Source organism: Homo sapiens, chromosome 2 (genome assembly GCF_000001405.40).
Source record: "Homo sapiens chromosome 2, GRCh38.p14 Primary Assembly".
NCBI classification, from domain to species: Eukaryota; Metazoa; Chordata; class Mammalia; order Primates; family Hominidae; genus Homo; species Homo sapiens.
The window spans coordinates 110,470,750-110,491,149 of NC_000002.12; the positions used below are offsets into that span (position 1 = coordinate 110,470,750).

At 39.8% G+C, this 20,400-nt stretch overlaps 1 protein-coding gene across 8 annotated transcripts in view; it reads right to left on the reverse strand.

Annotated features, from left to right (window-relative positions):
* LIMS4 (LIM zinc finger domain containing 4) overlaps positions 1-2,326 on the reverse strand; it is a 113,949-nt gene extending 111,623 nt beyond the window's left edge. For 7 of the 8 annotated variants that reach the window (XR_007068194.1, NR_038099.1, XM_017003105.3 and 4 more), the window contains exon 1: positions 1,848-2,326. Coding sequence is in view for 6 of the 8 variants with exons in the window: in XM_017003105.3 (XP_016858594.1) it covers positions 1,848-2,029 (182 nt within the window). In the remaining 2 variants the exon portion in view is untranslated. The remainder of the gene's footprint in view (positions 1-1,847) is intronic. The other variant, NM_001371340.3, reaches the window with a different exon arrangement.
* Positions 2,327-20,400: the final 18,074 nt, after the last annotated feature.

A 20,400-nucleotide genomic window follows, 5' to 3' on the forward strand; every position in this document is an offset into this window, starting at 1 on the left:
GAAACTTTTATTAACAAGATTTGCAAAAATGTAACGCAATGCCATCCTTTCCTCTAAGCCTCTTCCATTTTGGAAAACAGTTATTTTTCATGACAACATTAATATTAACATTTACTATTATTAACACGTAATAAGCTTAGTGTTGTTTTTAAATGAATTAATAAGTATTTTAAATTGTTCCCAGTTTCAATTTCTCATATGGTAAATACTGATAAATGAAAGTCCTTTGGGAACCTTAATAGTTTTTAAGAGTGTTAAGAGGCCCTTAGATTAAAACGTTTGATTATCACTGACCAGTTTAAACTCATTATAATATAGATTGTTTCTACTTAAGTTCAAATACTCAAGTAGAATTAGGAAATAGGTAGATACATCATAAAAACAAGCACACAGTTACTTCCCACACACAGGAAAAATCCGCTAGTTTTAGAGGTAATATAATATATATTTTGCAAGAAGTATTCCTTTTCATCACAAGCAGGGGGAAAAAGGAAACAGAACAATCACCTTGCTGCCCCCTGAACCAGTCAGGCTTCCCTTTCCTCTTTTGCCTTTGACCCTCTGGCACAATGCCTGTTGTTGTTTTTTTTTTAAATGTTGATTTTATATTTAATACTACAGATGACAGAAATTACTTTAAAAAAGTCATTAGTGACAGTTATAGCTACCATCAGATTAGTTATAATTAATTAGCTAATTTTTTAGAAAAAGATTTTCACTAAAAAGTGTTGATGACAAGAAATATGTAAGTGGGGGAGTATCTATCTATCTATCTATCTATCTATCTATCTATAGATAGATATTTATATGTAAAAGTCAGGCCAGGCATGACTGATGAAGCTGATCCACTTCCACAAATCAACCTCACACAGCACAACTGATATCTTGCTTTCCATTATTCAAGTATGCAAAACAAATTGTTTGGTCCTAAAATGCAGCAATGTATAAATCCAAAAATCTTCTTGAGAGTTCACCAAGCAGTCAAAATATTGGTTACTGTATTATTACAATTCCCCAGTTACTGTCAAACAGAGCTCTCTGTGAGTTGTGAAGATAAGTGACATCTGTACCACAGAGCACGGATTATGGAAGTAGAGAACCGGGTCAGTTAAATTCTCATTAACTCTTACTTGACAAATTTGGGATACGCAGTAATTCTAAGCTCACAACTTTGAATGAGGTCAATAATCTTGAGCTGGTCTGATGGCTACTCTGCATTTTCTTAAAAAAATGTGTTTGCTAAAACCTATTTAATAATATAAATTAGCCTAGCTTTTTAGAGTTAACAGTATGTTCTATATGTGTATTGAGCTGCTACTTATACGATATATATATTTATTCATTCAATTAAGAAACCCAGTTAGCTTACTTCAAATTGTTGATTATTACACAAAACAAAAATATTTATCTTTACCAACAGTCTGTAATTTGTTTTTTTCACTGTCCCAACCCATCTGCCCCTTATCTTTGGGCCGTTTTAGACTGCAGAATTTTTCTAACGTAATTACTGACAATGACAACACTAAGCCTCCCTTGCGGACGACATGATGAAAATGCAGTTAGTTACCAAGTGATCAGGAACCTACTGAAGACGGGGCCGCCATGCTCTCACAGTGAGGGCAGCACCTCCCTCCCATCTGCGTGTCGCTGCATGTCTTACCGACAAGGCAGTCTCCTGTCTCCCTAAACATGCTGCGCTGCGAGCCCCTCGGAGCCCTACCACCCTGGAAAACTCCCACCCAAAGTCCAGTCAATAAAATTGTATGGGCCAGCTCAGGATGGCTCCTGAACAGACAGCCAAGAACGCTGGACCTGGAAGAGGGCACTCCAGGAGAGGAGACACTCACAATTTCGCATAAAAGTCACAGAACTCCTTGTAGACTTTCACGTCACTGTGCCTGCGCTGCAGTTTGGAAACAGCCCTCTCGTCCTCGGTCCCATTGGCCTCGTGGACAGTGTTAAGGGCTGCTCGGGGGATTTCTTCGTTCTCTGGGATAATGCAGGGGCGCGCTCGGCCTGAGAAGGCCATCGTGGGTGCTTGAGAGCTCTGAGCACAGGGATGAGAATGGCAGGACACAGAGCCAGGAGAAACAATATCCAGGCCTCCCTGCTTCCCAGCCAGGGTCACTCCCACTGTTCCCACGCACGTCAGCCTGGCCCGCCAGGGTCACTGCTGCTGCTTCATGTTAAGAGCTCAGCAGCACAGTACACAGTTACATGGCAGTCAGGATTTACTGAGGCATTCTGGAAGTTCTAAAATAACATTCCACAAAGTAGTGACACAGTCTTTGTCAGAGCGGCAGTCCCAGTGGACTATGCTATAAACACTGCACCAGGAGACCGGGGCTACCTTGTAAGCCTCCAAGAGAAAGAAATATCCACACGTGCCTTGCATATTTGCCACAAGACTTCATCAACAATGCCGTGCTTTTCACTCTGGAGGGCATAAGAGGCTTTTGGAGACCTTGTAAAACATCCCCCTGACAAGCTCTCCCTGAGGCTGAGGCTGCTGGCACACTCTGAGGAGCATTTGAACCCTGCCTGGACCTGGGCTTCCACAACCCTGGCCATGACTGCCAGCTATGCCTGATGGGTCCCTTCCCCAGGAGGCCATGAGCCCCTAAAACTAAGAGCTACGTTTGACTTCTATCACCTTTGCTACTGGTACATAGTCACAAATGTACTCAGTCCAATCTCAGCTTCAATGAATGGGCACAAGTGGAAACAGACAAGGGCCAGTGTTTAGTTATAACTCTTCTACTGGACTCCAGCTAACCTCAAAGCTTAGGTGAGCCGATGTTTCTCAGTCTCTATCATGACTAAGGAAACTGTTACATACTTTGGCATTCTTGCTATATTCAGTCCACACTCCTGTCTCCTGTGATTGAGTTAGCAATGCGAAAGGAAACTAAATCACTAAGCCAAGGAAAAAGTCAAGCTGGAAACTACGTCAGGCAAACTTGCCTCCTGTTTTATTGCTAAATAAGATAGCTACAAAGATAACAACCTACATCCCTCCCTCACCATTTGCCCGCAAGAAAACTCCTTACGGAAAAAGGACAGACACAACTCAAAGTCATCCCTTTGAGGCTCACCTGAGACAAATGCATAACTGATTGCTTCCTCTGCCCTATTGTTCACGTAAAAATGTAGGTTCACTGAGCCAGACACAATTGTGTATTCATCGGAAGGCTGATCAAGGACTCAAAAGAATGCAACTTTTTGTCTCTTATCTACTTCTGGCCTGGAAACCCCCTACTTCGAATTGTTCCACCTTACTGGACTGAACCAATGTACATCTTACATATATTGATTGATGTCTCATGTCTCCCTGAAATGTATAAAAGCAAGCTGTACCCCGACCACCCCGGGGCGCATGTTGTCAGGACCTCCTGAGGCTGTGTCATGGGTGCGTCATTAACTTTGGCAAAATACATGTTCTAAATTGAGTAAGACTTGTCTCATATACTTTTTGGTTTACAGCAATGATGACAATCATGATGTAGCACTAGAGACAACTAAAGGGCTCAGAATCTTTCTCACGTCCCCGTCCTCTCAGGGCAGTGTGCCACCCACCAAAACCAAGAGACTGTGAAATAAAATCTACAGAACAGGCGCAAGGCACACTGATGGACAGTCACGGAACCAGCAGCGACAAACAAAATGCAGCCAGAGACACCAAGTAACAACCATAAATAATGATATCCAAGAGTCAGTGAGTGCTTCCTATCACATCCCTTAATCCTTCCCACGGCTTCTGAGATAGGTGTTAGTTACAAATGAAGAAACTGAGGCACAAAGAGACTGAATAACTACTAAGGAGGTGGTGGAGTCAAGATTTAAACCTAGGCACTCTGAGTCCAGAGCCTATGTTGTTAATCCCTATGTGAGAAAATGTTAAACATAATTACTGGGAAGCACAATGGTTAGCCAGAAAAGATGAGGGAGTGGGTACCAGATAGGACTGGAAGCAGGGGACCAAGTCTTTCTACTTTGAATCCTAAAAATCTCAGAGGATAGGTCAAGAATTCAAAGGCTGTGGGCTACAGATCCTGCCCAGGCCCAAAGCCTATGGCTGATGAAACAAGGGAACCACCATATTTAAATAAGAAAGGAACAACCTCATGGTTTAAAATTTTTCCTTTCAATTTATCTACATTTCCTAATTTTTTAGGTTTCTTTTTTACAATGACCATGTGAAACAGTGAGGAGGCAGGGAGGGAGGGAAAGAAAGAGACAGACAGACAGATGGATGAGGACAGAGGCAGGCTGACTCAGACCAGAAATTTAATGCATCCGGTGGGGGTGGCATGGTAGGAGGCAGGAAGCCACGTGAGCCTTCTGCTCAGAATTCTCCCTCACAGTCTCCCCAGTGCTCACATCTTACGTGACTACAGTACAGGAGCAAAACCAGGAATCTGACATTGCAGCAATGCATGTGTGCGGGTCTCTGTCATTTCATCACATGGGCAGCTTCCTGTAACAACAGCCTCTATCAAGTTACAGGACTATTCCATCACCACAGACTTCTCTTTCATGTTATCTCTGACCATCACATACCTCTGCACACTCCAACACTCCTAACCTCTGGCAACCACTCATGTGTTTTTCATTTATATGATTCTGTTATTTAAAGAATGTTACCAAATGGAATCGTTCATGTGACATCTTCATTCAGCACAATGCCCTGAGACCAATCCAAGTTGCTCCACATGTCCACAGTTTGCTCTTGTTTACTGCCACGTAGTATTCCATGACATGGATGCATAGTTTGTTTCACTGTTCACCCGCTGAAGAGCATTTAAGTACTTTCCTTCCAATTTGTGGCACTGTGAATGAAACTATAGAAATTTCTGTATTGAATATATTTTTATTTCTCTGGGATAAATGCCCAACAGTAAAATTGCTGAGTTGTATGGTAAGTGAATGCTTAGGTTTTAAAGAAACTGCCTGTCATATTGTGACTTTTAATAATAAATCTATTCTTGGTCTCCGCCCCCATTTCCTGGCACAGGACTCCTAAAACTCTTGGACTCTCTGAAGTGGTAAGTGTCTTTTGTAGGCTAATGTGACAGGTGTGGGGGTGGCTGCTGGAGAATCAACCATGCAATAAGAAGGCTGCAACTTTCAGCTCCAGCCCCAACCCCTTGGAAGGGAGAGGAGTTGTGGTCAATGATCAAATCAATCATGCCTATGAAAAGAAGCCTCCATAAAAACTCAATAGGACAGTTTAGGGGAACTTCTGGGTTGCTGAACATATGGAGGTGCTGGGAGGGTGGCGCTCCCAGAGGAGAGAAGCTCTGCTCTGTTTCCCCACACCTTGCCCCATTATCTCTTCCATCTGGCTGTTCTTAACTCAAGTTATGCTATGTAAGGATTACTACGGGGAAGCAGATAGAGATCTTTCCTTTTATCTGGTTTCCTCTACTTACATCTGTGACTATTTTAATGAGGGTGGTTGGCACACAGTAACCCTAAATAGAACTCTTCAATAGAGGTCACCTTAACATGACCTGGTTTTATGATCAAAGGTACCATATACTATGAAGATATTTTTAAACTGTTTAATCAATCAATGTAACATTTTATATGAATGTAAAACAGGTTTCTGGCTCTGTTCCTTTGTTTACAATTTTGCTAGATCTCATTCTCTCCTCTTGGCCTTTCTTTCAATCAGGAATATCCTGCTGGGAGTTGGGAGGGAAAAGAGAAGCTGATGTTCTGAACGAAGAAAAGATGCAGCAAGAAAGCTAGATTGTCTTCTATCACACTCTATAGATCACCTTCCCATTAGCCTCTCCCTAGGAACTGATGACCCAACCAGTTGATTCTCATAATAATACAAGGCAAAGAAATTCTCTGCACATTACCCAAGCTACTTACACTGAAACAACAAAGGAACTAATGTGGGGGTTAAAGCCAAGCAGGAAGCTCAGACATGTCCTCCACTGCAATGGTGGGAGTAAACAGGCCCCGGGGTTTCAGGAGCTGGTGACAGCACTGATGGGCTGCCCTTCCTTTAGCAGCCCATTTTGGCATTCTGGTAAAGTCTACTTCTTCTAGAAAAATAGTTGCTCGCATTATTCCATTGTTGGCTTTACATCATTCCTGGACATATGGAACTTTTACTATGAGCCCATGATGCAATAGGCCCAATGTGGTGCCTAAGAAGTATCCAGCCCACCATCAGTAGAAGATACTACAATCTGCTGAATGAATGAATGAATGAATGAATGAATAAAAGTCATAGCCTCTGCTTCTATGACTATACAGTACATAGTTTGGTGCCCAGTGCTGAGTGAAGAAGGTTGTTTGTATGTCGTGAATAAGGATCTGTAACAGTGTGGCCATGGAAAGTTTAGGTGGTGGTCAGGTGCAGTGGCTCACGCCTGTAATCCCTGCACTTTGGGAGGCCGAGGCGGGTGGATCACCTGAGGTCAGGAGTTTGAGATTTGGCCAGGAGCCTGGCCAACATGATGAAACCCTGTCTCTACTAAAAACACAAAACATTAGCCGGGCGTGTGTGTGGAGGAAAAGTTAAATATTAAATTTGAACTCAATTGAACATGGACACAAACAATGGTCACCAAGTCCTGAAACAGGTTGAGTGAGCCCCTTGAGGCATTCATCCAGCGCTGTTTCAGAGAAATCTCTATTTCAATCTATTCTTACATGTCAGTTATTGAAAAACAATAGACAATCGCAAAAACAAGTTGTGACCTTTTTGTGTTCCTTAAGCCCAGTCACGAAGGCACTTGTGACTGGGTCTCATGCCAAACAACTTGTTACAAAAACAGCTAGAGTCCCAGACTGCACCGAAACTTCATGAGACCTTCCCTCGCTGTGCATGGACCAGTGGCTGACTCTGGAGCACAGGCTGTTGCTTCCCGGTCTGGTGATGAATCCTCCATAGTTTGGTGAGTGTAAAAAAATATATATATATATCTTTTCCCTTCTCCCCTTTTCATTGCAATTTGTTTATTGTATCATTTGTTTATTATATCTGCATTGCCTTTTACGTGGGATAAAGCTTGTTTACCCTTAAAGGTATTGTGTGTGTGTTTTTCTTCCCCCCTTAGGCATCTCCCGCACAGAACAGCATGGTGGCGGGTGCCTGTAATCCCAGCTATTCAGGAGGCTTGAGGCAGGAGAATCGCTTGAACCTGGGAGGCAGAGGTTGCAGTGAGCAGAGACTGCATCAGAGCAGCCTGGGTGACAGAGTAAGATTCTGTGAAAGAAAAGTGAAGAAAAAAGAGAAGAGAAGAGAAGAACAAAAAATTCTAAAATTTATGTGGAGTCACAAAACACCCGAATAGCCAAAGCTATCTTAAGCAAAAAGAACAAAACTGGGGGAATCACATTACCGGATTTCCAATTATACTGGAGAGCTATAGTAACCAAAACAGCATGGTATTGGCATAAAAACACACATATAGACCAATGGAACAGAATAGAGAACCCAGAAACAAAATCCACACACCTACAGTGAAGTCATTTTCCACAAAGGTGCCAAGAACGTACACTGAGGAAAAGACAGTCTCTTCAATAAATGGTGCTGGGAAAACTGAATATCCATAATGCAGAAGAATGAAACTAGACCCCTACCTCTCACCATAAACAAAAATCAAATCAAAATGAATTAAAGACTTAAATCTAAGATCTTAAACTATGAAACTAGTACAAGGAAATGTCTGGCAAACTCTCAAAGACATTGGTCTGGGCAAAAATTTATTGAATAATACCCCACAAGCACAGGCAACCAAAGCAAAAATGCACAAATGGGATCACATTAAGTTAAAAAGCTTCTGCAAGGCCAGGCGTGGTGGCTCATGCCTGTAATCCCAACACTTTGGGAGGCCGAGGTGGGCAGATCACCTGAGGTAAGGAGTTCAAGACCAGCCTGGCCAAAATGGTGAAACCCCATCTCTACTAAAAATACAAAAAATCAGCCGGGCGTGGTGGCGGGTGCCTGTAGCCCCAGCTACTCGGTAGGCTGGGGCAGGAGAATCGCTTGAGCCCAAAAGGCGGAGGTTGCAGTGAGCAGAGATTGCGTCACAGCACTCCAGCCTTGGCGACACAGTGAGTGAGACTCCATCTCAAACGACAACAACAACAACAACAAAAACAACAAATACAGCTTCTGTACAGCAAAGGAAAACAGTCAACAAAGTGAAAAGACAACCACAGAATGGGAGAAGATATCTGCAAACTAACCATCTGACAAGGGGTTAATAACCAGAATATATAAGGGGCTTAAACAACTCTATAGTAAAAAAATCAAATATAATAATCTGATCAGAAAATGGGCAAAATATATGAAAAGATATTTCTCAAAAGAAAACGTACAAATGGCAAACAGGCCTATGAAAAGGTACTCAATACCACTGATCATCAGAGAAATGCAAATCAAAAGTACAATGAGATCTCATCTCGCCCCAGTTAAAATGGCTTATAACAAAAAGACAGGCAATAACAAATACTGATGAGGATGTGGAGAAAAGGGAACCCTTGTACCCTGCTGGTGGAAATGTAAATGAGTACAATCACTGTGAAGAACAGTATGGAGGCTCTTCAAAAAACTAAAAATAGAGCTACCATAGGATCCAGCACTCCCACTGCTGGGGATATACACTAAAGAAAGGAAATCAGTATATCGAAGAGATATCTGCAGCACTGATCACAATAGCCAAGATTTGGAAGCAGCCTAAATGTCCATCAACAGACGAATGGATAAAGAAAAAATGTGGTACTTATAGACAATGGAGTATTATTCAGCCATAAAAAAGAATGAGGTCCAGCCATTTGCAACAACATGGATGGAACTGGAGATCATTATGTCAAGTGAAATAAGCCAGGCACAGAAAGACAAACATCGCTTGTTTTCATTTATTTTTGGGATCTAAAAATCAAAACAATTTAACTCATGGACACAGAGAGTAGAAGGATGGTTACCAGAGGCTGCGAAGTGTAGTGGTGAGATGGGGAATGGGAAAGGAATGGTTAATGGGTACAAAAACATTAGTTAGAAAGAATGAATAAGACCTAGTATTTGATAGCACAACAGGGTGACTACAGTCAATAATAATTAGATTGGACATTTAAAAATAACTAAAATAATATAATTGGATTGTTTGTAACATAAAGAATAAATGCTTGAGGGGATAAATATCACCCCCCCCCAATAAAATAATTAAACAGAAACAGGAGGTAGATTTGGCCCACAGACTGAAGTTTAGAGACTCCTCCTTAATAGGAAGAACTAAATACCATATTGGACAAACTTAAACAAAATATCATTACTATAGAGCCTTGAGAAAACAGATTTTTCTTTATAAGATGCTAACTCCTTAAATGAAATAGTGGCCACCACAATTACTGAAGGAATACCTTAAAGACCCACACAACCACAGCTTTTTGAAAGACCAGGGCTGCATTTACAATGACAGGAGAAACAGACACAGCTTCCGTGTTGCCTGAACTGGCATAAACAACAGAAGAAATGAACAGTGTCAGATTGGCACACATCTGCCTGGCCAGGGCCTCATTCCCACACTCCGTCCGTTCTCCCAAAAGGATTCCCCACCCACCACCCCCCAGATGGCTAGTATCCAACCATCAGGGCTCAATCCTAAGCAAAATATTGAACTAGCTGTTTTCTTCTCACTGGCCTGGTATCTGCAAAGCTAACCATCCGGCTGCCCTACCTTCAACTTTCCTTCCAAACATAGTACTCCTCAGTCTCTCCTTCCTCCTAGCCTATACAAAGTCAAAGTTTATGTTAATTTTATTAAAGCTATGCCAACAACAACAAAAAGTCTCAAATCATATCTAAGACATACCAGGTGACAAAAATTCATTTATAAACAAAAAAGTTTGGATAAAGTAGACATTTTTTTAGTTTACTATGAACTGATGATATACTGGCAAACTTACTAGATGGAGGGCTTTGAGCCAGCTACTTACACATCATGTCCTAATCTATGAAATAGCCCACGCTGCAGTTGTAGGGATGAGGGGTAAAGTTCATAAGCCACCCAGTGCACAGCCAACCACAGTGGGTGCTCATAATTGGTAGCTATTCCTAGGATGATGAGAAACAAGGATATATTAGAAAACATTCAGAATTCATCTGTAGAACAGGTGGGAGAAGGCTTTAAAAAAATAGCATTTCTGGCCAGGTGTGGTGGCTCACACCTGTAATCCCACCACTGTGGGAGGCCGAGGCGGGCAGATCACCAGGTCAAGAGTTCAAGACCAGCCTTGCCAACATAGTGAAACCCCGTCTCTACTAAAAAATACAAAAAATAGCCGGGTGTGGCAGCGGGCGCCTGTAATCCCAGCCATTCGGGAGGCTGAGGCAGGAGAATCACTTGAACCTAGGAGGCAGAGGTTGCAGTGAGCTGAGACTGCATCATTGCACTCCAGCCTGGGCAACATGCAAGAATCTGTCGCAAAAAAAAAAAAAAAAAAAAAAAAAAAAAAAAAGCATTTTTGCTTGTATTATAGATAAGTGAAACGGAGAAAAAAGAAACATGCACAAAGAAATTCTTTTAGTTATGCAGGTAGAGACAGTCTGTGTGTGTGCCTCTGTCTCTTTCACACAGACACACACACAAGCAAGCACATACACAGGAACTTACAATGACAACCTGCCGGAAAGAACTTGATGTTGTATGCTAGAAAACATCACCCTCTAGTGACTGCTAGTGTATTTGTTGCTTATTCAATTTATCAAGAATTCACAACATTTTAACTCTTCTATCCAAAAAAATGCTTTTAAAAAGTCTTCAGAAATGCAATCATCATTACAATCACGTGTTGCTGTGGCTGGACTGGGGGCATGAATTCCTGGAAGTTATACAAAAACTTTCTATGCATGTGCCTTTGTGCATTTTCTTCTATGAATGTCGTAAGTGTTGAGTCTCAAAGTGGTCTGTGAATAAAAAAAAAAGGTCAAATTAAGATGTTTTGACCAAGCACAGTGGCTCACATCTGTAATCTCAGCACTTTTGGAGGCTGAGGCAGGCAGATCACCTGAGGTCAGGAGTTCGAGATCAGCCTGGCCAACAAGGAGAAACTCCACTTCTACTAAAAATACAAAAATCAGCTGGGTGTGGTGGTGCGCACCTGTAATCCCAGCTTCTCGGGAGGCTGAGGCAGGAGAATCATTTGAACCCAGGAGGCGGAAGTTGCAGTGAACCAAGATCATGCCACTGCACCCCAGCAACAGAGCAAGACTCTGTCTAAAAAAAAAAAAAAAAAAAAAAAAAAAAGATGTTTCGTAGGGAAATTAATGAACCAAAGATGTTTCGTAGGGAAATTAATGAACCATCCCAAGTACTTCAAGTTCCTATTGCCTCAACATGTCCCCCTCCTTTTTAGTTTAGTTTAGTTTTTTTTTTTTTGAGATGGAGTTTTGCTCTTGTTGTCCAGGCTGTGCAATGGCGTGATCTCGGTTCACAGCAACCTCTGCCTCCCAGGTTCAAACGATTCTCCTGCTTCAGCCTCCTGAGTAGCTGGGATTACAGGCATGCACCACCACACCTGGCTAATTTTGTATTTTTAGTTGAGATGAGGTTTCTCCATGTTGATCAGGCTGGTCTCAAACTCCTGACCTTAGGTGATCTGCCCATCTTGGCCTCCCAAAGTGCTAGGATTACAGGCATGTGCCATGCCCGGCCAACATGCCCTTTCTTTACATACATCCCTAATGGGGAAAGTAAAATCTGAGACCTAACTGAATTCCATTGATCTGTTCTGTAAATCATTTTACATTTATGTTAATCTTCCAAAAAGTGTGCTCCCATTTTCCTCACCTCTTATTTTTAAAATGTTGTCATCATATATAACACCAGACTCCTGAGCCACCCTCTGGCTTTTCTGCTCCTTCCACAGCTACAGCTCATCTTCCATGGACCCTTTCATTTCCTCCTTTGGAAATTAAAGACAGCACATGCTCATTTATCTCACACTCTTTTGTAAGAATTACAAATTAACTCGTATTAATACTAAGAGTATTAATTATCGCTAATTAGAAATAAGCTGAGAAAGATAAAGTACTATACAAATGTTGGCCGCTGAATGCCTACAGGGACACAGGAAGTCAAAACAGTATCAGGTCTTTCTATGTCTGCGGCAGAATGCCAAAGCCCTGACACACATCCTTTTAGCAGCTTTAAGTCACTTCTGCAAGTGAGTACAAGGGGATCATCCCTTACTCCTGATCTTTGCTCTCAGGGGACCACTTCAGCATAAGCCTTCCACCCTCCACAGATAACCTCAGGTTCTCCTGAAGCCTCTAGATCTTATTTGACATTTTATTATAGGTGCAACTTCTTGTGGCCTGTTCTTCCATCTTCAAAGCACATTACTCTGACCTCTGTTTCCATCCTCACATTCCTTTCTCCTCTTTCTGATCCTCCTGCATCCCTCTTATAAGGACGACTGTGACTCCCTCGGGCCCCCAGATCATCCAGGATCATCTCCCATCTAAAGGTTCTTAACCATATTTGCAAAGTCCCTTTGCCATGTAAGTAACATATTCACAGGTTTTGGGGAGTAGGATCTGGACATATTTGGGGGCCATTATTCAGCCCACCACATGTCCTTCTTACACGCCTCCATCCTTTCTTTTCCTTCTGGTGCTACAAGATGTTCCAGCCTTATTTTGTGTATTCCTGGCTCCAGACCTAGAATTTCTCAGGCGTTTCTCCAGAAATACTGGGGTGTCACTGCTTCTAGGGCTTCTCAGAAGACAGAGTGAAAAAATATAGCTAAACAGATTAGTGTATTATACATGTGTATACATAGACACGCACACATTCATACTGATACCTCCCACTCTACTCCACAAGGCTCATTCTAACTTCCCCCCTTGCTTATTTGTAACTTTTTTCTCTGAGAGTGAGACCCCAACTTTCATTATCTACAACATATCTATCTATTTATTATACTTGTAGTTTCAAAATTACTGAGAAACAAATTTACTACCTAGAATACTGTGTTAATATACAATTTTCTTTAGTTTTACAGTATCCAGTCAAAAGGCTGTCTTCCAAAATTGCTTAGGTCAGCTACTTCTCCATGCAACTCTTTCAGTGAGGCTGTATCATGCGTTTGTAATATTGTTAGATTCATTTGTTATAGCCTGCTTTCTCCACAGGACTTCCTAACAGCCTATTTCTTTTTTTTTTTTTTTTTTGAGATGGAGTCTTGCTCTGTCACCAGGCTGGAGTGCAATGGCACTATCTTGGCTCACTTGCAACCTCCACCTCCTGGGTTCAAGTGATTCTCCTGCCTCAGCCTCCAGAGTAGCTGGGACTACAGGCGCCCGCCACCACGCCCAGCTAATTTTTGTATTTTTAGTAGAGATGGGGTTTCACCATGCTGGCCAGGCTGGTCTTGAACTCCCGACCTCAGGCGATCCACCTGCCTCCGCCTCCCAAAATGCTGAGTTTACAGGCATGAGCCACCCGCCCGGCCAGCCTGGTTCATTTTTCAAATTTGCGTGCACTAAAGTCCACTCTTTGTGGTGTACAGATCCATGTGTAGTTGTGTGTTTCTGGGCTTTTTATTCTGTTCCAGTGGTCAATCTGTCTCTTCATATGACAGTATCATACACTTTCCTAAAAGAGGATCTAGAAGTGTTTTTAATACCTGACAAGCTATTCTCTCTCCACAGCTTTTTATTCCAGGGTTCTTCTAGTTGTTCTTATGTTTAATTTTTTTCATATGGACTTTGGTATCAACTTTTCAAGCTCCATTTAAAAAAGAAAGCTTGTGGAATTTTTATAGGATTGCACTAAATTGATGGTGTTGCTAAGATTCAAACATAGGCAGTTTGCTCCAACACCTACATGAAGTTTGGGGCAAAAAAGAAAAAAGTAACATTTTTGTAGTGGTATTCAGTTTTTATTAATAGAGTTCGGTTTTGTTGTTATAACTAGGCTACTTTGTATTAACCCTGGAATTGAAACTTATTATGAAAATAATTTGCATGTAGGTTTACTAATAAAGAATCAGGCTCAAATGCACTAAAAGACAGACATGAAAATTGTGTTTCGACTACTCTGAAAATTCTTATCCCTATAATAGAAAATAATTCATCTGTGAAATGAAATAATAATCTAGAAACCCTCTGATGGCATGTAGAACTTGTTCTCAGTGGAAAACTCAGTCAACTAATTCTCAAATGTTTGCATACTTAAATTATACCCCAAGTCATAAATAACAACCTATTAAATAAATTTGCTTTGTGTCTTTGTGCTTTATTAATTTTTTTCTCATCTGACTTCTTTCCAAAAGCACTTAAAAAGATTTAAGTCTCTAGTTACACTTTCCTTCTTCTGCAAATTTGTCAGAGTGAAAATTTATTGTGTTCTTTGAAAGAATTACCTTTTGACAACTTGCACGAAGTCTTCACAAGCTTTCGCCAATTCCTCAGCCATCTTCTCCAACGAGGCAAATACTTCATTCTCCACTTCTTTCCTCTCCATTGAGATGAGCAGATGGCAAAGCTGAACGATCATTGGTGAGATGATTCTCTCAATGCCTTTGTTCTGTATCACAGAGCTGATGTCATCCAAGAGGAAAGACTCCATCTCTCTTAGTCTGTGAACAGAAGTTACAACATAGTTTAACTCACACTGACTGACATGTAAACCTACTTCTCTTTGACTTGATGTTCATCTAATTTTACTTCTATGATGAGAAAGAAATCTGCAAAATATCAAAGGGATAAGTTGGGAGAGATATTTTTAGGACCTCACAAGTATGGGATAGGTTGTGGCTTAGCAGAAACATTAAAAAATGGGACAAAGGCACAATGAGATAGATTCAGAGGTGCAAACAATGGCGAATGGACTCACAAACTATATGAAATAGAGGCAGTTTAAGAAATGGTTAATTGACAAAGAAACATTGAACTTAAATAGGACTTTACAGACATTTACAGAACACTCTACCAAACAACTGCAGAATATACATTCTTCTCATCAGCACGTGGAATATTCTCCAACACAAACCTCTATCAAGCCACAAAACAAATTTTTCTTTTTTTTTTTTTTTTGAGACAAAGTCTCGCTCTTGCCTCCCAGGCTGGAGTGCAATGGCGCGATCTCAGCTCACTGCAACCTCCACCTCCCAGGTTCAAGCGATTCTCCTGCCTCAGCCTCCTGAGTAGCTGGGATTACAGGCACCTGCCACCACGTCTGGCTAATTTTTGTATTTTTAGTAGAGACAGGGTTTCACCGTGTTGGCCAGGCTGGTCTCAAACTCCTGACTACAGGTGATCCACCTGCCTCAGACTCCCAAAGTGCAGAGATTACAGGCGTGAGCCACAGTGCCCGGCCAAAACAAATTTTTAAAAATTAAAATCATATCAAGTTCTTCTCAGACCACAGTGGAATAAAAACTTAGAAATAAATACCAAGAGGAACTTTGGAAACTATACAAATACATGGAAATTAAACTACATACTCCTGAATGATCATTGCATCAAGAAATTAAGATAGAAATGTAAAAAAAATTTTTTTTAATTTTTTTGAGATGGATTTTTGCTCTTGTTGCCCAGGATGGAGTGCAATGGCACGGTCTTGGCTCACCACAACTGCTGCCTTCCAGGTTCAAGCAATCCCGCTGCCTCAGCCTCCCAAGCAGCTGGGATTACAGTCATGTGCCATCACAATGGCTAATTCTGTATTTTTAGTAGAGACAGGGTTTCTTCATGTTGGTCAGGCTGGTCTCGAACTCCTGACCTCAGGTGATCCACCCGCCTCGGCCTCCCAGACCACGGGGAGTACAGGCATGAGCCACCATGCCCAGCTGGAAGTTTAAAAATTTTTTGAATCAAATAAAAATGAAAACAAAACATACCAAAACCTGTGGGATACAGCAAAAGCAGTGCTGAGTAAAGTTTATAGTATTAAACGCCTACATCAAAAAAAAGAAAGATTACAAGTTAACAACCTAACATCACACATCAAGAAGCTATAAAAGCAAGAACAAACCAAATGGAAAGTTAGCAGAAGAAAAGAAGTAACAAAGATCAGAGCAGAGCTAAATGAAATACAGATAAAAAAATTCAAAGGATCAATGAAATGAAAAGTTTGTTTTTCAAAAAGAAAAACAGATTGATAAGCCACTAGCTAGACTAACCAAGAAAAGAGAAAATCTGAATAAACAAAATCAGAAAAGATAAAGGAGACATTACAACTGATAACATGGAAATACAAGAGATCATCAGAGACTATTATGAACAACTATATGCTTACAAACCAGAAAACTTAGAGGAAATGAATAAATTCCTAGAAACATGCAACCTCCCAATATTGAACCAGGAAGAAACAGTAAACCTAAGCAGATGAATAATGAATAGCTAGATTAAATCAGTAATAAAAGATCTCCCAAGAAAGAAAAGCCCAGGACCAGATGGATTCATAGTTGAATTTTATCAAATGTACAAAGAAGAACTAATACAAGTCCTCCTGAAACTGTTCCAAAAAAACATTTGAGGAGAAATGAGTTCTCTCTAACTCATACTATGAGACCAGTAATACCTTATACCAAAATCAGAGAGACCATGACACATAAGGAAAGAAAAGTCCACACCAATATCCCTGATCAACATAGATGCAAAAATTTTCAAAAAATACTAGCAAACCAAATCTAACAGCACATCAAAAAGTAATACCCCATGGTCAAGTGGGATTCATCCCAGGGTTGCAAAGGATGCTTCAACATTTGCAAATCAATAAATAAATTTGATACATCTTATCAACAGAATTAGAGACGATAAACCATATGATCATCTCAATAAATGCAGCAAAAGCATTTGGTAAAATTCAGCATCTCTTCATGATAAAAACCTTCAATAAACTAGGTATAGAAGGAACATACTCTGAATTAATAAAAACCATATATAACAAACCCACTGCCAACATCATACTGAATGGGGAAAAGCTGAAAGCATTCTAAGTACTGAAACAAAACAAGGTTGCCTACTTTCACCACTCCTATTCAACATATTAATTAGTACTGGAAGTCCTAGCCAGAGCAATCAGGCAAGAGAAAGAAATAAAAGGCATCCAAATTGTAAAAGAAGTCAAAATATTCCTGTTCACTGATGATATGATTCTATATCTAGCAAAACCTAAAGACTCCACCCAAAAACTCTTAGACTTGATAAATGAATTCAGTAACACTTAAGAATACAAAATCAATGTATAAAAATCAGTAGTGTTTCTATACACCAATGAGGATCTAGCTGAGAACAAAATCAAGAAGGCAATCTCATATATAATAGCTTCAAAAATAAAATAAAATAAAATACCAACTAACCAAGGAGGTGAAAGATCTAAACAAGGAAAACTACATAACTCTGATGAAAGAAATTGTAGATGACACAACCAAATAGAAAGATATCCCATGCTCATTGGTCAGATTTAATATCATTAAAATGATCATACTGCCCAATGCAATCTACATATTCAATGGGATCTCTATCAAAATACCAATGTCATTTTTCAAAGAATTAGAAAAAACATGCTAAAATTAACATGTAACCAAAAAAGAGCCGGAATAGCCAAAGCATTATAAAACAACAACAACAAAGCTAAAGCTGTCACATTACCAGACTTCAAATTATAATACAAGGCTGTAGTAACCAAAACAGTATGATACTGGTACAAAAATAGACACATAGATCAATAGAATAGAAAAGAGAATCCAGAAATAAAGCCACATATTACAGCCAACTGATATTTGACAAAATCAACAAGAACATACAGTGGAGAAAGGACACCCTTTTCAATAAATGATGCTGGGATAATTGGATTGGCATCTGCAGACGAATGAAACTGGACCACCATCTTTTACCATATAAAAAAATCAACTCAAGATGAATTAAAGATTTAAATGTAAGACCCGAAACTACAAAAACACTAGAAGAAAATCTGGGGAAAACTCTTCCGGACATTGATCTAGGCAAAAAATTGATGACAAAGACCTCAAAAGCACAGACAACAAAAACAAAAATAGGCAAATGGGACTTAATTAAACTAAAAGGCTTCTGCACAGCAAAAGAAATAATCATCAGAGTGAACAGACAACCTGCAGAATGGGAGAAAATATTTACAAACTATGTATGACAGGGGACTAATGTCCAGAATTTACAAGGAACTCAAACAATGCAACAACAACAACAACAACAAAATAGAAAACAATCCCATTAAACAATAGGCAAAGGACATGAATAGACACTTTTGAAAGAAGACATACAAATGGCCAAGAGGCATATGAAAAAATGCTTAACATCACAAATCACCAGAGAAATGCTAATTAAAACCACAATGAGATATCATTTTACATCAGTCAGAATGACTTATTAAAAAGACAAAAATAACAAATGTTGGCAAGAGTACAGAGAAAAGGTCATACACTTTTGGTGAGAATGTAAATTAGTACAACCTCTATGGAAATCAGTATGGAGATTTCTCGGAGAACTGAAAATAGAACTACCATTCAATCTAGCAATACCACAACTGGGCATCTACCCAAAGGAAAAGAAATCATTATATCAAAAAGATAACTGCACTCATATGTTTATCACAGCATTATTCACAATAGCAAAGATATGGAATCAGCCAGGTGCTGTGGCTTACACCTGTAATCCCAGTACTTTGAGAGGCTGAGGCAGGTGGATCACTTGAGGCCAGGAGTTGAGACCAGCCTGGCCAACATGGTGAAAACCCATCTCTACTAAACATACAAAAAAAAAAAATCAGCCAGGCGTGGTGGTGCATGTCTGTAATCCCAGCTACTCTGATGGCTGAGGCACAAGAATAGCTTGAACCCAGAAGGGGGAGGTTACAGTGAGCCAAGATCACGCCATTGCACCCCAGCCTGGGCGACAGAACAAGACTCTGTCAAAAAAAAAAAAAAAAGATAGGGAATTAACCTATGTATCCATCAACAGATGATTGGATAAAGAAAATGTGGTACATATACACAATGGAATTCTATTCAGTCATAAAAAGAGAATGAAGTCATGTCTTTGGCAGCAACATGAATGAAACTGGAAGCCATTATCTTAAGTGAAAAAAGTCAGACATAGACAAATTCTGCATGTTCTCACTTACAGGTGGGAGCTAAATAATGTGTACACATGGACATAGAGTGTGGAGTGATAGACAGTGTTGACTTGGAAGAGTGAGGGGGTGGGAGGGGAGTTGATGGTGAGAAATTACTTAATAGGTAAAAATGTGTGTTATTCAGATGATGTATACCCAACAAAGCCCTGACAAGGATTTTGAAGCAGATGTCATGAACATACTTCAACAAGTAATTGAACACACTTAAATTTTAAAAATTACAATTCAAGAAAAAAAAGACATAGAAGGAAAAAATTTGAAATTTTAGAACTGAAAATATAATTAAAATAAATTCATTGAATGGGCTCAATAGCAGAATGGAGATGACAGAGGAAAGTCAATTAATTTGAACATAGATTATTACAAGTTTCTCAAACTGAACGACAAAAAGAAAATAGCTGAAAAAGAAATGAACAGAGATCCAGGAACTTGTGGGACAATAAGAAAATAGCTAACATTTTCAAGGGCTAAAATAAAAGAACTGTTCATCCTAATTCTATACCCAGTGAACTATACTTCAGGAATGAAGGGGAAATAAAAACATTTCTTGTCAAAATATAAACAAAAGTTACCCAGAAGAAACACAAAGCCTGAATGAATTATTAGCTATAGAGAGACTGAAATAATAAAGGCCTATATTTTAAAAGGTCATAGATCCAGAAGATTTTAATCCCTGAATTCTTTCTGGCCTTTAAAGAAGGAACAATTCTTACAATGCCTAAACAATTTCAGTACTTGGAAAAAGTGCAAAGCTTCATTGTTTATCTTATAAGGCTAACATTGCTTTAATTTTTAAAACTAGTAAGAAATATCAAAAAATTAGAGTATATACCATTTTTATAAAGGGATACAGACACAAAAATTATAATCAAATTATTAGAATATGAAATCCAATGATACGGAAAAAGAATAGTACTCCTTAACTAATCAGGGTTTGAGGAATGAGAGGGTGCTTCAACATTACAAACTCAACTGACCAGGATTCCTTGGACAAATGGCTGATTCAAGGACTGTAGCAGGAATAGAGAAGGTAAGCACAGAATCTCTTGAAATGACAGGAAATAAAGAAGTGCTCCCAAACAAAACCAAACCCACTTTGAGGGAGGTTTGTCAAAGGCACACAGGAGCAAGTGAAAGAACTTCCAGTGGCCAAAGGAGGCATGATTGGAGCAACACCATAAAGTAACACTGGATTCTAATCCAAAGTATGAAATAAGTATCTATGAACAATGATTGAGAAAATAAATAAATA